General features: G+C 37.0%; 1 protein-coding gene across 5 annotated transcripts in view, besides 1 other annotated feature; it reads right to left on the bottom strand.

Annotated features, from left to right (window-relative positions):
* FNDC3A (fibronectin type III domain containing 3A) overlaps nucleotides 1–18,838 on the bottom strand; it is a 234,489-nt gene that overhangs the window by 186,992 nt on the left and 28,659 nt on the right. For all 5 annotated transcript variants that reach the window (NR_103528.2, XM_017020440.3, NM_001079673.2 and 2 more), the window contains exon 2: nucleotides 16,499–16,636. Coding sequence is in view for 4 of the 5 variants with exons in the window: in XM_017020440.3 (XP_016875929.1) it covers nucleotides 16,499–16,597 (99 nt within the window). In the remaining variant the exon portion in view is untranslated. The remainder of the gene's footprint in view (nucleotides 1–16,498; nucleotides 16,637–18,838) is intronic.
* Nucleotides 1,157–1,706: an enhancer, noted in NCBI's record as "NANOG hESC enhancer chr13:49595218-49595767 (GRCh37/hg19 assembly coordinates)". NCBI's record gives its function as "activates a minimal SCP1, AML or CMV promoter by ChIP-STARR-seq in primed H9 embryonic stem cells {active_cell/tissue: H9 hESC(primed)}" and the evidence as "EXISTENCE:reporter gene assay evidence [ECO:0000049][PMID:30033119]".

The following is an 18,838-nucleotide window of genomic DNA, read 5'->3' as shown; positions in this document are numbered from 1 at the left end:
GAAAAAGGAGAGTAATGTTTAAATTCTAGCCTTTCCAAAGCTTCTAAGAATGAGAAATTTAGCAAACCACTATTTATTTGCCAGGCAAAGCTGCATAGCAGTTAGAAGATGACTAATTTGGGCCATGAAATCTATGATTAATGGTTTGTATTAGAATTCTGAGGCACAAAATTATTGTCACAAAAGTATAAGCTTTATTTCAGTCTCAGTAGCCTCATTCCTAAGGTTTATGTTTATAGCTTAGCATGGAAGCTATCAGATTTTTAAATGCATATATTTACAAATTTGTAACTTTTTGAACTTAAAAATGTGAGCACTTTTTAAAGTTTTTACATTAGATTTTTGGCTATTGGTGAAAGTTTTCCTTCTTATTTCCATTTAAACCAAACACAACTTCCATGGAGATAAAAGTTTAACCCAAAGTAACATTATGTAAAAGCTAATCTCAGAAACAAACATGTAGAGCTTTGTTTTTAGGTTTGTTTTAGGTAATGTAAAAAGGGGGAAGCACCTTTACTCTACTACCTAGCTCTGCTTTTTCTGGTTTGTCTTTAGTTTCCTCTGGACAAAATGCTCTGAATGTTTTTGAGACAATTCTCGATGAAGGGTCTAACCAAAGGCCTGCTATGCATGAAAGCTTAACATGTATCAACAAAAATGATGAGGGCCCTCAAGTAAGGAAACTTACTGACCTGTGAAATGGTTTATTCATTGTAAATTTCTGAAGTAAGGGTCTGAGTCAGATGAAAAAAATACCTTTTTACAATTGTTCACCCAGCAGGCTTTGAACATAGTTTTATTCTATATATACAGTCATATGATGAAGAAATTTATTCATTGTACATGTTGGTAAATAATAAACACTGTTTTCCAAAGTTTAGATATCAATATAAAAATATAAAATGACACTAGAAAAAATGTTGTATTACATAGAGAACTGGCCCTACTCTGATCATACTGCATTTTTATTCCATAAAAACTCCATTTTGGAAGATATCATTAGGAATGACACAGTGTTAACCTCCAAAAATCCATTGCTCCATAACAGCAGTGAGAACACAGGCGTAAATCGTCAAAACTAATTTTTTTTGGAACTCTAGAAATTAACCAAAGGCTTGCAACAGTATGTTCAGGGAAAACAGCTAGATCCTGATATGGACAGTGAGCTTTGTGTCATTTTAATTTGCTCTATTCCCTACTCTGTCTCCCCAGCTTCACAAAAGCCTTGGAAAAGTCTCAGAATCACAGCAGCAGTAAAAACCAGCAGACTAGCAGCCACTGGAAGGGAAAGAATGGTTTGGAATACCGTAAAAGTCTCATCTCCAAAAGAACTGTCATATTTGACCTGTCTGGCAGTTCCCTGGAAACACCCAGTCCCAGGGCTTGTCTTGATTTGTCCTAACTCAGAGCTCCCTTATTGCAAATAGCTTTCCCCCTGGGGAGCATGTGTAAAACAATCAGTGGCAGTTGGTTTAACATCACAGTTGGCTTGTGGTGAGGATAACAATAGGGAAAACAAGAAGCTAACCAAAAACTTGGACAGGAAAAGCTGCAGAATAAGATGTTCATATAGGGGCTTTGAAAAGCTCTAGTGTGTTCAAGTTAAGGTGTAGTATTATATAAACCTACTTTCATTTTGGCAGTATATATTAATCATTTTAATACCAGTTACATAGGCCTACTCACTAGGGTGTTATATCAGAAATTACTAACATTTTTTTCCCATATCAAATTGAAATTCTCTCAGTATGAATAAACTCATTAATTCCTATGGCTTCACTACCCTGACTATTCTGATAATTTCTACATCTCTGGTTCGAATCAGATCTTTTTCCTGAAATTTAATCCATTAATTTACTATTTTTATAGTGATTAAGACCATGATAAATGATTAGGAATTTTAAAGACTTAGCTTTGAATCCTGGTTTTTGCCTTTCAGAAGCTATGTTACTTAACCTAGTAACAAGTTAACACCTTTCTGATTCTTAGTTTCTATAAAATGGAAATATTAAAGCTACTTCTAAGAACTGTTATGAAGATTAAATGAAATAATGCATTACTTGCCTCAGTGTCTGAACACAGGGTAAGGGCTCAAACAGTAGCTGCTATTATAACCCCCCAACACTGATGGCAAGTTTGGCCATGTGCCTTGTGTTGGTCCATAAAATGGAATGGAGATCAGCAAGTAGTTCACCAGGATACCAGCAACATTCTATTTAGGGGCTGGGTCTCAGGTGAAGACTATGTGGCGCACAGCCACAGCAAACCTGTGAAGGACGTGCAGTATGAGCAATAAACCTTTTGGTAAACTACAGAGATTAAGAAGCTGTTTGTTACCACAAAATAATCTTGCCTATTCTGACTGATAAGACTTAACTACTTAGTAAATGGTCTTGCTATCCACTTACATTTTCAAAGAAAATCCTGGGGAAATTTTTATCCCCTCTCTTAGTTTTGTTCTATGACTTGTTCACCAATTTTACCTCCTTAATATTTCTCAAATCGTGTATCATTAACATGACCTTAATTCAGGTTTTTTTAATCTGATATTACAATATTTTCCTTCCCTAGCTTCACTCTCCTTAAACATTTTAATCTGCATTAATAACATCAATAAATTTTATTTTAAATGCCTCAAATGCCTGATCATAAGTGCTTAAATAGTTCTTATTAAATTTATTTAAAAACTCAACTTTTCTTAACCATTTTAATACCACTTACATAACAAATATACACAGATTACCTCAGTATTATAAAAATGTACTTCCAAACTTAAGATGAAGTATTCACAGTATGCATCTGATTTGCTTCTTCATTTCTATACTTCAGTCAAAGAAACTTAGGTTCAGAAGATTTCACTGAACAAGTTATACCAAATGAGGAAGAAACAATTTTAAACAAACACAAATTTAACCAAAGAATAAGAAACAAAAGGGTAAACTCCACAGTTTAGTTCAGCACATCTTTGATACCAACTCAGGATATTAGGGAAATGCCCATTATAGGACAGTCTCACTCATGAACACAGACTAAAAATAAAATCCAAGAAAAAATATTAGCATACCCCAATCCAGCAATACATTAAAAGAACAATGTATCACAATGAAATTGGGTTTAGCCAGAAATATACTGTCAGTTAAACATTGAAAAATTAATGTAGGGGAGGAGCCAAGATGGCCGAATAGGAACAGCTCCGGTCTACAGCTCCCAGAGAGAGCGACGCAGAAGATGGGTGATTTCTGCATTTCCATCTGAGGTACCGGGTTCATCTCACTAGGGAGTGCCAGACAGTGGGCGCAGGTCAGTGGGTGCGCGCACCCTGCGTGAGCCGAAGCAGGGCGAGGCATTGCCTCACTCCGGAAGCACAAGGGGTCAGGGAGTTCCCTTTCCTAGTCAAAGAAAGGGGTGACAGACGGCACCTGGAAAATTGGGTCACTCCCACCCGCCTACTGCGCTTTTCCGACGGGCTTAAAAAACGGCGCACCAGAAGATTATATCCCGCACCTAGCTCAGAGGGTCCTACGCCCACGGAGTCTCGCTGATTGCTAGCACAGCAGTCTGAGATCAAACTGCAAGGCAGCAGCGAGGCTGGGGGAGGGGCGCCCGCCATTGCCCAGGCTTGCTCAGGTAAACAAAGCAGCCCAGAAGCTCGAACTGGGTGGAGCCCACCACAGCTCCAGGAGGCCTGCCTGCCGCTGTAGGCTCCACCTCTGGGGGCAGGGCACAGACAAACAAAAAGACAGCAGTAACCTCTGCAGACTTAAATGTCCCTGTCTGACAGCTTTGAAGAGAGCAGTGGTTCTCCCAGCACGCAGCTGGAGATCTGAGAACGGGCAGACTGCCTCCTCAAGTGGGTCCCTGACCCCTGACCCCCCAAGCAGCCCAACTGGGAGGCACCCCCAGCAGGGGCAGACTGACACCTCACACGGCCGGGTACTCCAACAGACCTGCAGCTGAGGGTCCTGTCTGTTAGAAGGAAAACTAACAAACAGAAAGGACATCCACACCAAAAACCCATCTGTACATCACCATCATCAAAGACCAAAAGTAGATAAAACCACAAAGATGGGGAAAGAACAGAGCAGAAAAACTGGAAACTCTAAAAAGCAGAGCACCTCTCCTCCTCCAAAGGAATGCAGTTCCTCACCAGCAAGGGAACAAAGCTGGACAGAGAATGACTTTGACGAGCTGAGAGAAGAAGGCTTCAGACGATCAAATTATTCCGAGCTACGGGAGGAAATTCAAACCAAAGGCAAAGAAGTTGAAAACTTTGAAAAAAGTTTAGAATAATGTATAACTAGAATAACCAATACAGAGAAGTGCTTAAAGGAGCTGATGGAGCTGAAAACCAACGCTCGAGAACTACGTGAAGAATGCAGAAGCCTCAGGAGCCGATGCGATCAACTGGAAGAAAGGGTATCAGCGATGGAAGATGAAGTGAATGAAATGAAGCGAGAAGGGAAGTTTAGAGAAAAAAGAATAAAAAGAAACGAATAAAGCCTCCAAGAAATATGCGACTATGTGAAAAGACCAAATCTACGTCTGATTGGTGTACCTGAAAGTGACGGGGAGAATAGAACCAAGTTGGAAAACACTCTGCAGGATATTATCCAGGAGAACTTCCCCAATCTAGCAAGACAGGCCAACGTTCAGATTCAGGAAATACAGAGAACGCCACAAAGATACTCCTCGAGAAGAGCAACTCCAAGACACATAATTGTCAGATTCACCAAAGTTGAAATGAAGGAAAAAATGTTAAGGGCAGCCAGAGAGAAGGGTCGGGTTACCCAAAAAGGGAAGCCCATCAGACTACCAGCGGATCTCTCGGCAGAAACTCTACAAGCCAGAAGAGAGTAGGGGCCAATATCCAACATTCTTAAAGAAAAGAATTTTCAACCCAGAATTTCATATCCAGCCAAACTAAGCTTCGTAAGTGAAGGAGAAATAAAATACTTTACAGACAAGCAAATGCTGAGAGATTTTGTCACCACCAGGCCTGCCCTAAAAGAGCTCCTGAAGGAAGCGCTAAACATGGAAAGGAACAACCAGGACCAGCTGCTGCAAAATCATGCCAAAATGTAAAGACCATCGAGAATAGGAAGAAACTGCATGAACTAATGAGCAAAATAACCAGCTAACATCATAATGACAGGATCAAATTCACACATAACAATATTAACTTTAAATGTAAATGGACTAAATGCTCCAACTAAAAGACACAGACTGGCAAATTTGATAAAAAGTCAGGACCCATCAGTGTGCTGTATTCAGGAAACCCATCTCATGTGCAGAGACACACATAGGCTCAAAATAAAAGGATGGAGGAAGATCTACCAAGCAAATGGAAAACAAAAAAAGGCAGGGGTTGCAATCCTAGTATCTAATAAAACGACTTTAAACCAACAAAGATCAAAAGAGACAAAGAAGGCCATTACATAATGGTAAAGGGATCAATTCAACAAGAAGAGCTAACTATCCTAAATATATGTGCACTCAATACAGGAGCACCAAGACTCATAAAGCAAGTCCTGAGTGACCTACAAAGAGACTTAGACTCCCACACATTAATAATGGGAGACTTTAACACCCCACTGTCAACATTAGACAGATCAACGAGACAGAAAGTCAGCAAGGATACCCAGGAATTGAACTCAGCTCTGCACCAAGCAGACCTAATAGACATCTGCAGAACTCTCCACCCCAAATCAACAGAATATACATTTTTTTCAGCACCACACCACACCTATTCCAAAATTGACCACATACTTGGAAGTAAAGCTCTCCTCAGCAAATGTAAAAGAACAGACATTATAACAAACTATCTCTCAGACCACAGTGCAATCAAACTAGAACTCAGGATTAAGAATCTCACTCAAAACCGCTCAACTACATGGAAACTGAACAACCTGCTCCTGAATGACTACTGGGTACATAACGAAATGAAGGCAGAAATAAAGATGTTCTTTGAAACCAACGAGAACAAAGACGCAACATACCAGAATCTCTGGGACGCATTCAAAGCAGTGTGTAGAGGGAAATTTATAGCACTAAATGCCCACAAGAGGAAGCAGGAAAGATCCAAAATTGACACCCTAACATCACAATTAAAAGAATTAGAAAAGCAAGAGCAAACACATTCAAAAGCTAGCAGAAGGCAAGAAATAACTAAAATCAGAGCAGAACTGAAGGAAATAGAGACACACAAAACCCTTCAAAAAATTAATGAATCCAGGAGCTGGTTTTTTGAAAGGATCAACAAGATTGATAGACCACTAGCAAGACTAATAAAGAAAAAAAGAGAGAAGAATCAAATAGATACAATAAAAAATGATAAAGGGGATATCACCAGATCCCACAGAAATACAAACTACCATCAGAGAATACTACAAACACCTCTACGCAAATAAACTAGAAAATCTAGAAGAAATGGATACATTCCTCGACACATACACTCTCCCAAGACTAAACCAGGAAGAAGTTGAATCTCTGAATAGACCAATAACAGGAGCTGAAATTGTGGCAATAATCAATAGCTTACCAACCAAAAAGAGTCCAGGACCAGATGGATTCACAGCTGAATTCTACCAGAGATAGAAGGAGGAACTGGTACCATTCCTTCTGAAACTATTCCAATCAACAGAAAAAGAGGGAATCCTCCCTAACTCATCTTATGAGGCCAGCATCATCCTGATACCAAAGCCAGGCAGAGACACAACAAAAAAAGAGAATTTTAGACCAATGTCCTTGATGAACATTGATGCAAAAATCCTCAATAAAATACTGGCAAACCGAATCCAGCAGCACATCAAAAAGCTTATCCACCATGATCAAGTGGGCTTCATCCCTGGGATGCAAGGCTGGTTCAATATACGCAAATCAATAAATGTAATCCAGCATATAAACAGAACCAAAGACAAAAACCACATGATTATCTCAATAGATGCAGAAAAGGCCTTTGACAAAATTCAACAACGCTTCATGCTAAAAACTCTCAATAAATTAGGTATTGATGGGACGTATTTCAAAATAATAAGAGCTATCTATGACAAACCCACAGCCAATATCATACTGAATGGGCAAAAACTGGAAGCATTCCCTTTGAAAACTGGCACAAGACAGGGATGCCCTCCTCTCTCACCACTCCTATTCAACATAGTGTTGGAAGTTCTGGCCAGGGCAATTAGGCAGGAGAAGGAAATAAAGGGTATTCAATTAGGAAAAGAGGAAGTCAAATTGTCCCCGTTTGCAGACGACATGATTGTATATCGAGAAAACCCCACTGTCTCAGCCCAAAATCTTCTTAAGCTGATAAGCAACTTCAGCAAAGTCTCAGGATACAAAATCAATGTACAAAAATCACAAGCATCCTTATACACCAACAACAGACAAACAGAGAGCCAAATCATGAGTGAACTCCCATTCACTATTGCTTCAAAGAGAATAAAATACCTAGGAATCCAACTTACAAGGGATGTGAAGGACCTCTTCAAGGAGAACTACAAACCATTGCTCAAGGAGATAAAAGAGGATACAAACAAATGGAAGAACATTCCATGCTAATGGGTAGGAAGAATCAGTATCGTGAAAATGGCCATACTGCCCAAGGTAATTTACAGATTCAATGCCATCCCCATCAAGCTACCAATGACTTTCTTCACAGAATTGGAAAAAACTACTTTAAAGTTCATATGGAACCTAAAAAGAGACCGCATCGCCAAGTCAATCCTAAGCCAAAAGAACAAAGCTGGAGGCATCACGCTACCTGACTTCAAACTATACTACAAGGCCACAGTAACCAAAACAGCATGGTACTGGTACCAAAACAGAGATATAGATCAATGGAACAGAACAGAGCCCTCAGAAATAACGCCACATATCTACAACTATCTGATCTTTGACAAACCTGAGAAAAACAAGCAATGGGGAAAGGATTCCCTATTTAATAAATGGTGCTGGGAAAACTGGCTAGCCATATGTAGAAAGCTGAAACTGGATCCCTTCCTTACACCTTATACAAAAATCAATTCAAGATGGATTAAAGACTTAAACGTTAGACCTAAAACCATAAAAACCCTAGAAGAAAACCTAGGCATTACCATTCAGGACATAGGCATGGGCAAGGACTTCATGTCTAAAACACCAAAAGCAATGGCAACAAAAGCCAAAATTGAGAAATGGGATCTAATGAAACTAAAGAGCTTCTGCACAGCAAAAGAAACTACCATCAGAGTGAACAGGCAACCTACAAAATGGGAGAAAATTTTCACAACCTACTCATCTGACAAAGGGCTAATATCCAGAATCTACAATGAACTCAAACAAATTTACAAGAAAAAAACAAACAACCCCATCAAAAAGTGGGTGAAGGACATGAACAGACACTTCTCAAAAGAAGACATTTATGCAGCCAAAAAACACATGAAAAAATGCTCACCATCACTGGCCATCAGAGAAATGCAAATCAAAACCACAATGAGATACCATCTCACACCAGTTAGAATGGCAATCATTAAAAAGTCAGGAAACAACAGGTGCTGGAGAGGATGTGGAGAAATAGGAACACTTTTACACTGTTGGTGGGACTGTAAACTAGTTCAACCATTGTGGAAGTCAGTGTGGCGATTCCTCAGGGATCTAGAAGTAGAAATACCATTTGACCCAGCCATCCCATTACTGGGTATATACCCAAAGGACTATAAATCATGCTGCTATAAAGACACATGCACACGTATGTTTACTGCGGCATTATTCACAATAGCAAAGACTTGGAACCAACCCAAATGTCCAACAATGATAGACTGGATTAAGAAAATGTGGCACATATACACCATGGAATACTATGCAGCTATAAAAAATGATGAGTTCATGTCCTTTGTGGGGACATGGATGAAATTGGAAATCATCATTCTCAGTAAACTACTGCAAGAACAAAAAACCAAACACCACATATTCTCACTCATAGGTGGGAATTGAACAAAGAGAACACATGGACACAGGAAGGGGAACATCACACTCTGGGGACTGTTGTGGGGTGGGGGGAGGGGGGAGGGATAGCATTGGGAGATATACCTAATGATAGATGACGAGTTAGTGGGTGCAGCGCACCAGCATGGCACATATGTACATGTATACATGTATACACATGTACATGTATACATGTATACACGTGTACACATGTATACACGTGTACATCTATACTTGCATACACATGTACATGTATACACGTGTACATATGTATACACATGTACACGTATATACATGTATACACGTGTACATATGTATACGCATGTACATGTATATACATGTATACACGTGTACATATGTATACACATGTACATGTATACATATGTAACTAACCTGCACATTGTGCACATGTACCCTAAAACTTAAAGTATAATAATAAAATTAATGTAAATTATGACATCAAAATTTGAAGGAAAAATATATCATTATCTTAGAAATGTTGAAAATATGAGACTGGGTCTCACTCTGTTGCCCAGACTGGAACACAGTTGCATAATCACAGCTTATTGCAGACTCAACCCCCCAGGCTCAAGTGATCCTCCCATCTCAGCCTCCTGAGTAGCTGGTACTACAGGTGTGTGCCACCACACCTGGCTAATTTTATTTTTAGTATATATGAAGTCTTACTATATGTTGCACAGGCTGGTCTCCAACTCCTGTGTTCAAGCAATCTGCCTGCCTCAGCCTCCCAAAATGCTGGGATTACTGGCGTCAGCCACTGCACCTGGCTTACCCTTTTAGATCTTAGAAAGAATATACATAAAAATGTATAATAAACATCATGCTTAATAATATGCTGAAAATACTCTCTTTGAGACTAAGAACAAGTCTCAAAATGAGTAAGAGTATAGCAAGGTTGCTGGATATTGAAGCAATATACAAAAATAAACTGTATTTCTAACTCACCAGGAACAGAAAATGATACACACACACACACACACACACACACACACACACATTTATAATTGCATATAAAAACCCAAGTGCCCAGGAATAAATTTAACAAAAGATAATCAAGACCTTTATGGGAAAAATTATAAAACTTCACTGTGACATTAAAAACCTACATAAATGCATGAATACACCAACTTCAACAATTGAAAAATTCAATATTGTAAAGATGCCACCAATTCTTCCCTCAATCAATCTATAGATTCAAGGCAATCTAAATCAAACTCAGCAGGTGTTGTGTGTGTGTGCATGTGTGTGTGTGTATTGATAAGCTAATTCTAAAATTTATATGTAAATGTAAAGGCCCAAGAATACCAAGACCTTCTCAAAGAATAAGGTGGGATGGTTTGCTTACCAGATACCAAGACTTGGTGTATTCTTGGCACAGGGATAATAAAACAGATCAATGAAAGAGAATTAAAAATCCATAAATACACTTTGGGAGGTGGAGGCGGGCAGATCACGAGGTCAGGAGATCAAGACCATCCTGGCTAACACAGTGAAACCCCATCTCTACTAAAAATACAAAAAATTAGCCGGGCATGGTGGCAGGCGCCTGTAGTCCCAGCTACTTGAGAGGCTGAGGCAGGAGAATGGCATGAACCCATGGCGGAGCTTGCAGCAAGCCGAGATCGCGCCACTGCACTCCAACCTGCGTGACAGAGCAAGACTCCGTCTCAAAAAAAAAAATCCATAAATAACCCTACAAATATGTGACAGATATTTGATCATATCTGTAACAATGTATCATAGATACATGACAAAAGTATCATTGTGGAGCAACAGGAAAACAACAGTTTTTTCAATAAACAGTGCTGAAATAATTAAGTTATACATACATGGAAAAACAGTCAAATTGGACCTATGCTTGATACAGTTCACAAAAATCAACTCCAGTAGATTTTGGAATAAAATGTTCAACGCGAAAGTATAGTTTTTAGAATATATTTTTAGAAATATTTTCATTGCCTCAGTATAGGGAATTCCTGTTCATAAATACCTTAAACATTTTTTTTGAGACACGGTCTTGCTCTGTTGCCCTGGCCAGAGTACAGTGGCATAATCATGACTTGCTGTAGCCTTGACCTCCTGGGCTTAAGTGATTCTCCCACCTCAGCCTCCTGAGTAGCTGGGACTATAGGCATATACTACCACACTCAGCTAAATTTTAAATTTTTTTGTAGAGAGAGAAGAAACACAACACTAACTCTAGAAGAAAAGAACTGGTAAATCTGACCATATTAAAATTAAAGACTGTCCATCAAAAGATACCAAAGATGCCAGCCGCCGGTGGCTCACGCATGTAATCCCAGCACTTTGGGGGACCGAGGTGGGTGGATCACTTGAGGTCAGGAGTTCGAGATCAGCTTGGCCAACATGGCAAAACCCCATCTCTACTAAAAATACAAAAATTAGCCTGGTGTGGTGGTGCACGCCTGTGATCTCCGCCACTTGGGAGGCTGAGGCAGGAGAATCACTTGAACCTGGGAGGCGGAGGTTGCAGTGAGCCGAGATCACGCCACTGCACTCCAGCCTGGGTGACAGAGCGAGACCCTGTCTCAAAAAAAAAAAGAAAGACATCAAAGAGAGTGAAAAGACAACCAGAACAGGGGAACAGGAGAGAATATTCACTACACTTATGACTGACTAAGAACTTTTGGCCAGAATATATATTAACAGTTTGATTAACAGTTTGATAAATCAAAGAAAAAAAGCATTCTTCATAATAATCCCAAACTAGAAACCCCCAAGATGGTCATCAAGAAGAGAACAGATAAATGAATACATTGAGTTATATTCACACATAATAGAATCTGATACTGAAAACTAAAAAGAACAAATTTCAACAACAGTAAGGAGGAATCTTTAAAACAATATTGAATAAGACCAGCAAGTCACAAAAGAATAGTTAAACCAAGTTTAATTTATGTAAATATCAAGAATTGGCAAAACTACAGTATTGTTGTATAGTGAAGTATATATAGATAAAACTACAGAGAAAAGTCAGTAAGCAATTATCATAAAAGTCAGGATAGTGGTAACCTTGAAGGAGAGAGGGTGTTATGATGTGGAAGAAACATACAAGCAATTTCTAGGGTATTGGCAGTATTATATCTCTTAGTGTGGCTTGTAGTTACAAGATTTATGCCTTATAATCATATGCTATATTTCATGCTTATTTTACGTACTTTTCTATAAATATATGTTATACTTCATGATTTAAAACAGGTTTTAAAAAGCTGAGGGCACATTCTGTGTTTTCTTAGATTCTTTATTTGTCCGTTGGCATCCATTCATCACAGGGCCAATTATATTAACCCTATTTTCTTATTTTCTGTATTCCTGATGTTCTGGCACCTGTGGCCTCACTTGCTGGGGAGAGATGGCCCCTTGTAGGGATAGCCAATTCTTACAGATAACAAAAGGCTTGGCCAGAGGCATACTTCTTATATGCAAACCATCCAATCCCAAGTCTATAGTGCCAACCACCTTATCTAACTTTTACACACCAAGCCAATATTTACCCTACCCTAAGCCATCCCAGGCCAGGTACCAGGCTACCAGGGATCACCCTTACAGCCCAAAGATGGTCAGAATTATTAAAACTAGCCAATCCAACACTATTTATTTCACCTTGCCTTTCCTGTGAAAACCCCAACAAAAGGTTTGGTCCAGGCTTTCTCCTCATGCCTTCTTCTGCCTCCTGACCAGAACATGCTGCTTCTCCTTTGGCCCTACCTGTATGACATGATACGTCCCCTTCTTTGGGAAATTTAAGTAATAAAAATCTTCTTTCAATGGCATTAGCCTCTTTGTGCCATCTCTTAAGTTACTTCCGTAAATTAAAATCCCATGGGTACAAATGAGACGGGAAGTTATAAAAATTATAATTTTAAGAGATTAATGCAATCAAGAAGGTACTAATAAAGACTGTATAATAGGCAGGCTAAGTTTTTAAAGGTCTTAACTGAAACTTTAAATGTATTCAATCCTTTTGGAAGGTAAGTAAGTAGAAATTAAGAGAAGACAAATTAGTAAACTGCTAAACCACACAAGAAACTAAAACATCTGAAATCTTCTTTAGATGGTGGCACTAGAGAACAGAACTGAGCATTCCACTTTTGCTTGAAGCTTATGTTCTATAAAACTGGTTTGGAGGTTCTAACAGGGCACACACATTCATGCAGGCTTTCCTTCTGCTATCAGGAAAAGATATCTCAAGTCAATCATGTGACAAAGAATGTACAATGGTACAGCCACCTTAGAAGACAGTTTGGTAGTTTCTCACAAAACTAAACACAGCCCTACCGCACAATCTAGCAATCATGTTCCTAGGTATTTATCCACGTGAATTAAAACTTATGTACACTCAAAAATCTGCACATGAATGTTTAAAGCAGCTTTATTTATAACAGCCTAAAGCTGGAAGTGACCAAGATGTCCTTCAACAGATGAATGAATAAACAAACTGGTCCATCTATACAATGAAGTATTATTCAATAATGAAAAAGAAATGAGCTATTAAGCCGTGGAAAGAAATTACCTACACCATACTGCTAAGTGGGAGAAGCCAGTCTGAAAGGGCTACATACTGTATTGCATTCTTAAAAATACAAAACTATAGTAGAGAGATAGTAAAAAGATCAGTGGTTGCCAAGGATTTGGGGGGAGTAAAGGAAGAATGAAAAGGTGAAGCACGGGATTTTTAGGGCGGTGAAATTATTCTGTATGATACTGTAATGATATATGACATTACCCATCTGTTAAGACCTGAAGAACTGTTGTACAACACTAAGAGTGAACCCTATGGACCTTACTTAATAATAACGCATCAATACTGGTTCATTAATTGTAACAAATATATCACACTAATAAATGAAGAAACTGTGGAGAAGAGGTGGTATGTGAGAACTTTGTACTGTCTGCTCAATTTTTCTTATAAGCCTAAAACTGCTCTAAAAATAAAATCTATTTTAATAATGAAAAAGGGAGGCAGATTCCATAACCACAAAAAAAGGTTCATAAGCTGCTTGTCAAAATGAATAATAAATGACTATTACAGCCTCCCTAAAGGCAACACTAGCAGTGATATCAGGAGCAATTCCCTCTATTATGATTCACAAGCCAAAGACCCACTGCGTGTAATATGATACAGTAGGAAATGTTTACTGTACTAAACCAGAAAATATTAATGAGGAGACAGATAATCTTAATAGCCAACTATAAGAAAATTAATTTGATCCCAAGAGTAGAAGAGAAATCATTTCATATAGCATAATATTCTGAAGAAAAGTCAAGACAAGGGACAAAATATGTCGTCTTGAATTTTTAACATCATGCTTGTGCACACTTCCATCTGTCAGGAACAGTTTTTTAGTCTGTGGTTAAACAGGCATCAACCAAGTTGTGTCATATCTCCATAGGTAAGCTATAACTTGGCGTATCAATAAGTTCTTGTGTTAAGACAAAGAAATGTCTGCTGTCAAGTTTATTGCGCTCCCACCTCTAATTATTATCTGCTTTGTATATAGTCCCTTACATTCTATCATAGCTATTGGTTCACTCTTTACACTTCATATGCATCCTTCATAACTATCTCCACGTTTTCTGATCCACTGCTTATTATAACTATCTCTATTTATTGAAATCCTGACTGGGATATCTAAAGTTTCTTCAGTCTTTTAAATATTTATTGAGTGCTTTACTTAGGATTCGGCAAACATTTACTGAGTTCCTTCAGGCTCATTTCACCCACATAGCTATAACTACTTTAAGATATTATTACCTCCATTTTCTAGAGAAGCAAACATACTCATAGAAGTTAAATAACTTGTCTTCGGCAACCAAAATCAAATCCAGATCTATCAGGCCAGTCCAGTGTTTTCTTCCACTCGTGTTTAGCTCTCTCCCTACCGAACTACACGCAACCTGCTAGTTAGAATTCAAGGCTTTACTCTACACTTCCTGAAATCTGTTTGTTTTTAAACTCTACCTAAAAACCTGTCCCTAGACCTCCTAACTCCACCTGCTCCTTTAAATCTTGCTAGTAGGTTCTTCTATTCCCAGATCCTTTCTCTATAGCCATCTACACCATTACTGTTACATGATAGCCATGGTGCCTTCAAGATTTCAAGAAAATTCTGCAATTTCCTTCTGGGGGAAGGAGAGAAAAGTCTTGAGATGGCATCATGGAGTTATTTCAGCCTGCTGTCTTCCCCTTAACAGAATATGCAACTCTATCAATGTACTGTAATTAACTGCTTAATAGATTCTTTTATACATTAGATTATCAACAAGTTGAAACTAGTGACTGGCCTGAGGCAACAAATGATAACTGAAGACACTTGGACAACCTCAAAAAGTAAATGAATACCTGCCACATCTACTATTTTTGTGAGTAGAAAATCTTAACAGACTTAAATTTGACCATGAAAAGCAAGTTTGTGGAATGAAATTGCTGGGATAAGAGCACGTAAAAAATTAAAACCAGGACACAACACTTTCTGCCATGTTTACACAGAACAGAAAAATTTAGAACCCAAGCCAATTGCTACTAATTTTTCAATAGTAGCCCTTTATCTTGTCAGCAAATCATAATTGCCTACTATAGATACTAAGTTTATAAAGTAAGAAAATCTGACTTTCTTGTTTTTAAGTTTTCCAAGGAGGCAGTATGAGTAACAGTTAGGAGCACAAGCTTTGTGTGATGCTGAGCAAGTTATTTAAGACTTTCTGAAACTCATTTTGCTTCATCTGCAAAATAAGGGCAGGTGTACCTACCTCATAGAATTGTTGAAAGAATTAAATGAGATCATAAAGCTCTTAGCACAATGTTTATTACATAATGGGCACCTAAACTGTTCCTTCCCTTCCTCATTAACATTTATTATGTTTTTAGTGTTTGTTTCCTCACCTACTGTTAAAATACCTACCATATAAGATAGTTATGAGAATGAAGCACATTGCCTGGCCCATAATAAGTACTTGTGAAAGCTTATTATTCCTATCCCTTTTTAGGATTACTGTGGGAATAGTGAAATCAGTGCAACCACAACATTTTAAATAAAGACCTGGGCTGGGGAAAAAAATCTATCAGCTTTTCAGGGATTGTGTATTTACTTTTGGAAGGGAGAAGAGAATGGGAGGGAAAAGACAACGTTTCATTATTATATAATGTAGGCAAAAATCATAATTTCATAATGATTTGAAATGATTTATAATAATCATTAAGGTACAAGGCTAAACTCAGGGACTAGCACACTATTTGTCTAAAGGAAAACAAAAACAACTTGAATGGCAACTAAATATACACATAAGAAATTTGACCATTAATTAGCAAGATATTTTAAAAGAGACTTCAAAAACAGTCTCATTATTTTTATCATCTTATAAAACTGAACAACATTTTGAATTGGGAATTTAAAACACGAATTAACAGGAACTCACTATTGTGATCTGTTTTAAATTTTGCATAAATACATGTGTATTAGACATAAAGAAATAAACATTTCAGTTTTCTTACCTGTTGTGTTCCATCTGCACTTACAATAGGGGCAGACAAAAGAGAAATATCACTACTTAAGATCTGAGTTGTATCCAGTAGTGGTGGATGTTCTGCCATTATCAATAAGACATTAATATACTGAATAACGCTCCAATTCTGAAAAACAAACATATATAGTCATTTGTAAGTATATCCTTAAAATACAGTAAAACATTGTACATTCAAGATGTTTCATTCTTTAACCTAAAGAGATATTCTTGTCAAAGGAAATTCTAGAATACTCTGTTGACTGCTTTTTTTTCCAATCAATAAGCCATTTAAGGAAATACATTTCTTACAATTCAAATTACTTTGTTTGTCAAAGTAGTCAGTAAGTTTATATGATATATTAAAGCGAATATCAGCAGGCTCTATTTAAATTCTATGTCTGTCTCTCCACCCCTTTCATCTCTATATAATATTTTATTTAATTTAACCACCACTACTTAATCTAAACACTGGGATAGGCACTAAGATACAGTGATTGAGTGAGGCAACTGTCACTAATTTTTTTCTATGGGCAGACAAGGTAATTATGAAGACTCAATCCCCCTCATCACCCTATCTGTCTCTAGGAACTACACAAGAAAAATTATGATTTTTCACTGATTCCTCAGACAAAACACAATGGTAAAAAAATTTGCTCAGGATTAGGGTAAGAACCTTCAAGTTTGAAGTTTCAAGCTCTTATATTACTTACTTATTTTGATTGTATTACTCTTTTCTAAGTGATACCTATTTACAATAAATCAATAATTTCAACAAAAAAACATATATTTACAAATCTTTAACTGTACACACAATATCACATACAAAAAGAAAAGTAAAAGATGATGTAAGCAATATTAGTCTATCATATACAATGTTAACCAATAAAACATCAGCAAATTACATTTCAAGATAAGCAAATTGAGTATAATCATAAATACACTGAATCTATATTGAAAAATAAAATAAACATTTTGGAATGTTTACAGCATTCTGCAATTCAGTAGTGTCAAGAGGGTTAACTTTTATAAGAGATTAAATTCATGTTATTTATTTAAAATCTTGACTGCTGAATCTCACAAGTTGATTTAGATTGAAAATAATTTTTCATGTAGCTATATAACAACTACTATGATGTTTTAAAAATTATTCAGTATTGGTATCTACTTGAAGATTTCATAGTTAATACCACAATAATGTAAAATGAGCCATTTTATATTATTTAATTATCTCATGAAAATGCATATTCTTTAAACATAATGTTTATATATAAAATAATGCAAATCTAACTTCTGGCATAACCTGTATTGCTATACTAAAGTCCAATAAAACCACTAAGTACTTTAAATATTGTCAAATAATGTTGCTCTGTGGAATATACAAAGAATTATGAGAAAGAATAAATGTATTATTTCTCCCACTTGCATATCACAAGAGTTAGTGTAAGAAACATTTCCAGGAAGCTAATTTGGGATTAACAAGATTTTGTAGGTAACTCAATTTTCTTAATAAATTAAAAAAAATAAAAACCACTGAGCCATTTAAATTTTGTCATTTTATTCTATTTGCAATATTCTATGTACTAGGTTTAGCTAAAACTGCAGGCCGCCATTATTATTTAAATTTTAGAATGTAACAATGAAAATACAACCACAGTTTGGTTTCAGGAGATGAACTGGTAATTTTACAAATAGAAATACAGATTTTCTTCTGAATCTTCAAGTTCATTCCAATACTAGTGCTATTAGAGACTGGGTATAGAGCCACATGCTATATTTCAATATTACCATTCCACTTAAGGTATTACCTTTTTAAAATTTTCAACCCATTGGTCAATTTGCCTAAGGTATTATCTTTAATTTTAGTATTTTTAAAACTAGAACACACTAAAGTTTCATTTATAAATTGGTTTATTGTATGGCCATATCTATCACACGCAAAGTAATTGGTTTTATTTAAGCTTGCAGATTCAAAACTTTTACCCTGCAACTCAAATGCTGGCATTTAGAAACCAGACATTCCTTTCTTTCCTTGTGTAGAGAATACTGTCAGCTTCTTCCTTCAATAAATTACTTCTAGTTTTGTTACTACTCACTTTCTACATTCTAGTCTTATCTTCTGACCTCAAATACCCTCTTAGTTTTAGTTATACACTTATTTTTAATTTTTATAATGTAACATTTGATGTATTTTTAAAAAGAATAGAAATAACTTACAGCATGTATTAACATCCATGGAGTAAATTCTTCCCTGCCACAGCCCACTTCAAACTACCAATGATTTAAAATTGACCTGCAAATTCCTGAATTTTAACAACCAACTTTTGTACAC

The sequence above is a fragment of the Homo sapiens genome, chromosome 13 (assembly GCF_000001405.40).
Source record: "Homo sapiens chromosome 13, GRCh38.p14 Primary Assembly".
Taxonomy (NCBI): domain Eukaryota; kingdom Metazoa; phylum Chordata; class Mammalia; order Primates; family Hominidae; genus Homo; species Homo sapiens.
The sequence above is the reverse complement of the archived record's forward strand: the minus strand, read 5'-3'. Positions and strand labels throughout refer to the sequence as shown.